General features: G+C 33.0%; 2 annotated features.

The window, feature by feature from the left end:
- Positions 854-1,023: an enhancer, noted in NCBI's record as "experimental_33339 CRE fragment used in MPRA reporter constructs". NCBI's record gives its function as "activates a minimal promoter by MPRAs in K562 erythroleukemia cells, with activity observed for the introgressed 13:77928997 or rs17763409 variant allele {active_cell/tissue: K562}" and the evidence as "EXISTENCE:reporter gene assay evidence [ECO:0000049][PMID:34662402]".
- Position 938: a transcriptional cis regulatory region, noted in NCBI's record as "Neanderthal adaptively introgressed variant 13:77928997 (GRCh37/hg19 assembly coordinates) or rs17763409 in the experimental_33339 CRE". NCBI's record gives its function as "modulates activity of the experimental_33339 enhancer by MPRAs in K562 erythroleukemia cells {active_cell/tissue: K562}" and the evidence as "EXISTENCE:reporter gene assay evidence [ECO:0000049][PMID:34662402]".

The raw sequence follows: 1,671 nt of genomic DNA, 5'->3' as shown, positions 1-1,671 counted from the left end.
TAGATTAAAAGAGAAAGAGGGGCGATCAAACTCAATAATCAAATTCCATACATTCAAATATACATCTGTAAAAGGAATTTGGAGACAAGAGGGAGAATTTGACTACAGACTGGATATAAAATAATATAAAATTATTGTTAAGTTTCTTGAGCATAATAATAGCATTGTGATTAAGTAAAGTATTCTTATTCTTAGAAACTTTATAGTGGTATATTTAGGAGTGAAGTTTCATATGTCTGCAAATGACTTTCAAATATTTCGGAATAAAAATTATTTTATGCATGTATATAGACAGAAATATTTAAATATTTGCCAGCATGTTAATTTTTGAACTTAGTGGAAGGTACGTGAATATTCTTTGTACCATTCTTTCAACTTTTCTCTGTATTTAAAATTTTAAAATAAAAAGTTGAAAAATACATTTAAACTTTTTAAATTTAAGAATAAGTAATACGACCAGGCACAGTGGCTCACTGTAATCCCACCACTTTGGGAGGCTGAGATGGGTGGACTCCTTGAGCCCAGGATTTCAAGACCAGCCTGTGCAACATGGCAAATACTCGATCTCTACAAAAAATAAAAAAAAATTAGCCAGGCGTGGTGGTGCACGCCTGTAGTCCCATTCACTCAGGAGGCTGAGGCAGGAGGATCACTTGAGCCTAGGAGGTCGAGGCTGCAGGGAGCTGTGAGTGTACCACTGCATCCAGCCTGGGCAACAGACTGAGACTCTGTCTCAAAAAAATAAAATAAAAATAAAAATACATAATACTAGTATATAAGACATGTGATAAATATGTAAGTTAGAAAAATTATACCCATTATCTGATCTAAGATCCAGAACATGAACAATATCATTAAATCTGGATATATGCTCTTCCTCATCCTAACCCTCTAACTTCTCCCCAACTATCTTGATATCTGTAAAATTTGTTATAGACATTTTCAAGCATATACAAAAAGCTCTAGCCCCAGCTCTGCAGTTTCTTTTTTTTTTTGTGTTTATGTTGTTGTATGTTCTATGTTATCCTTAGAGAATTCCTTTATCATTTGCAAAACCAGCAATGCCTCCAATGTGTATCAATAAGTTAAATATTCTGTAAAGGAAGATCCTCTCAGAGATATTTAGTCCAACATAATTTCAGAAGTGGAAATCCTTCATCCAATTTTTAACCTTTTTGTAAATAAATATATACTGTTATTTCAGTTAGGGTCAGTTTTTTAAAAATAGCATTGTTTTGGATACAATGTTTCTTTCTATACAGAAACAAATTGATTTTAATATGAAATGGAGAATATATCTGATGACTACCATCACCTGGGGACCCTGTCCTCCTGCTTCATTCAGTTAATTCATTGCTACTGTAATTTCTTTGCAAAACAGAAATGAAACTTAGTTCTCTGTTCTGAGGACCAGTTGAGCGGAATATAAGTATGCCAGTCAGGAGACGGATATTCTTGGAGTTTAATGAGAAAAGTAGCACTTAGTTGAGGATAAAGAATTCTAGTTAGTAAATAAAATGAACTGAGTAGAACATTGAATAACTGAGAACAAGAAGCATTGAAAAAAAAAGGAAGGAAAGAAAGACTTGAGTCAAAACTTGGAGTCCTATTAAAGAGGAAATAAGAAGAGGAAGTGGTTTATAGAGTAAGAGTTTTTATATATTAACTTGA

Source organism: Homo sapiens, chromosome 13, assembly GCF_000001405.40.
Source record: "Homo sapiens chromosome 13, GRCh38.p14 Primary Assembly".
NCBI lineage: Eukaryota > Metazoa > Chordata > Mammalia > Primates > Hominidae > Homo > Homo sapiens.
Note: the sequence above shows the minus strand (reverse complement) of the source record. Positions and strands in the feature narration are given on the sequence as shown.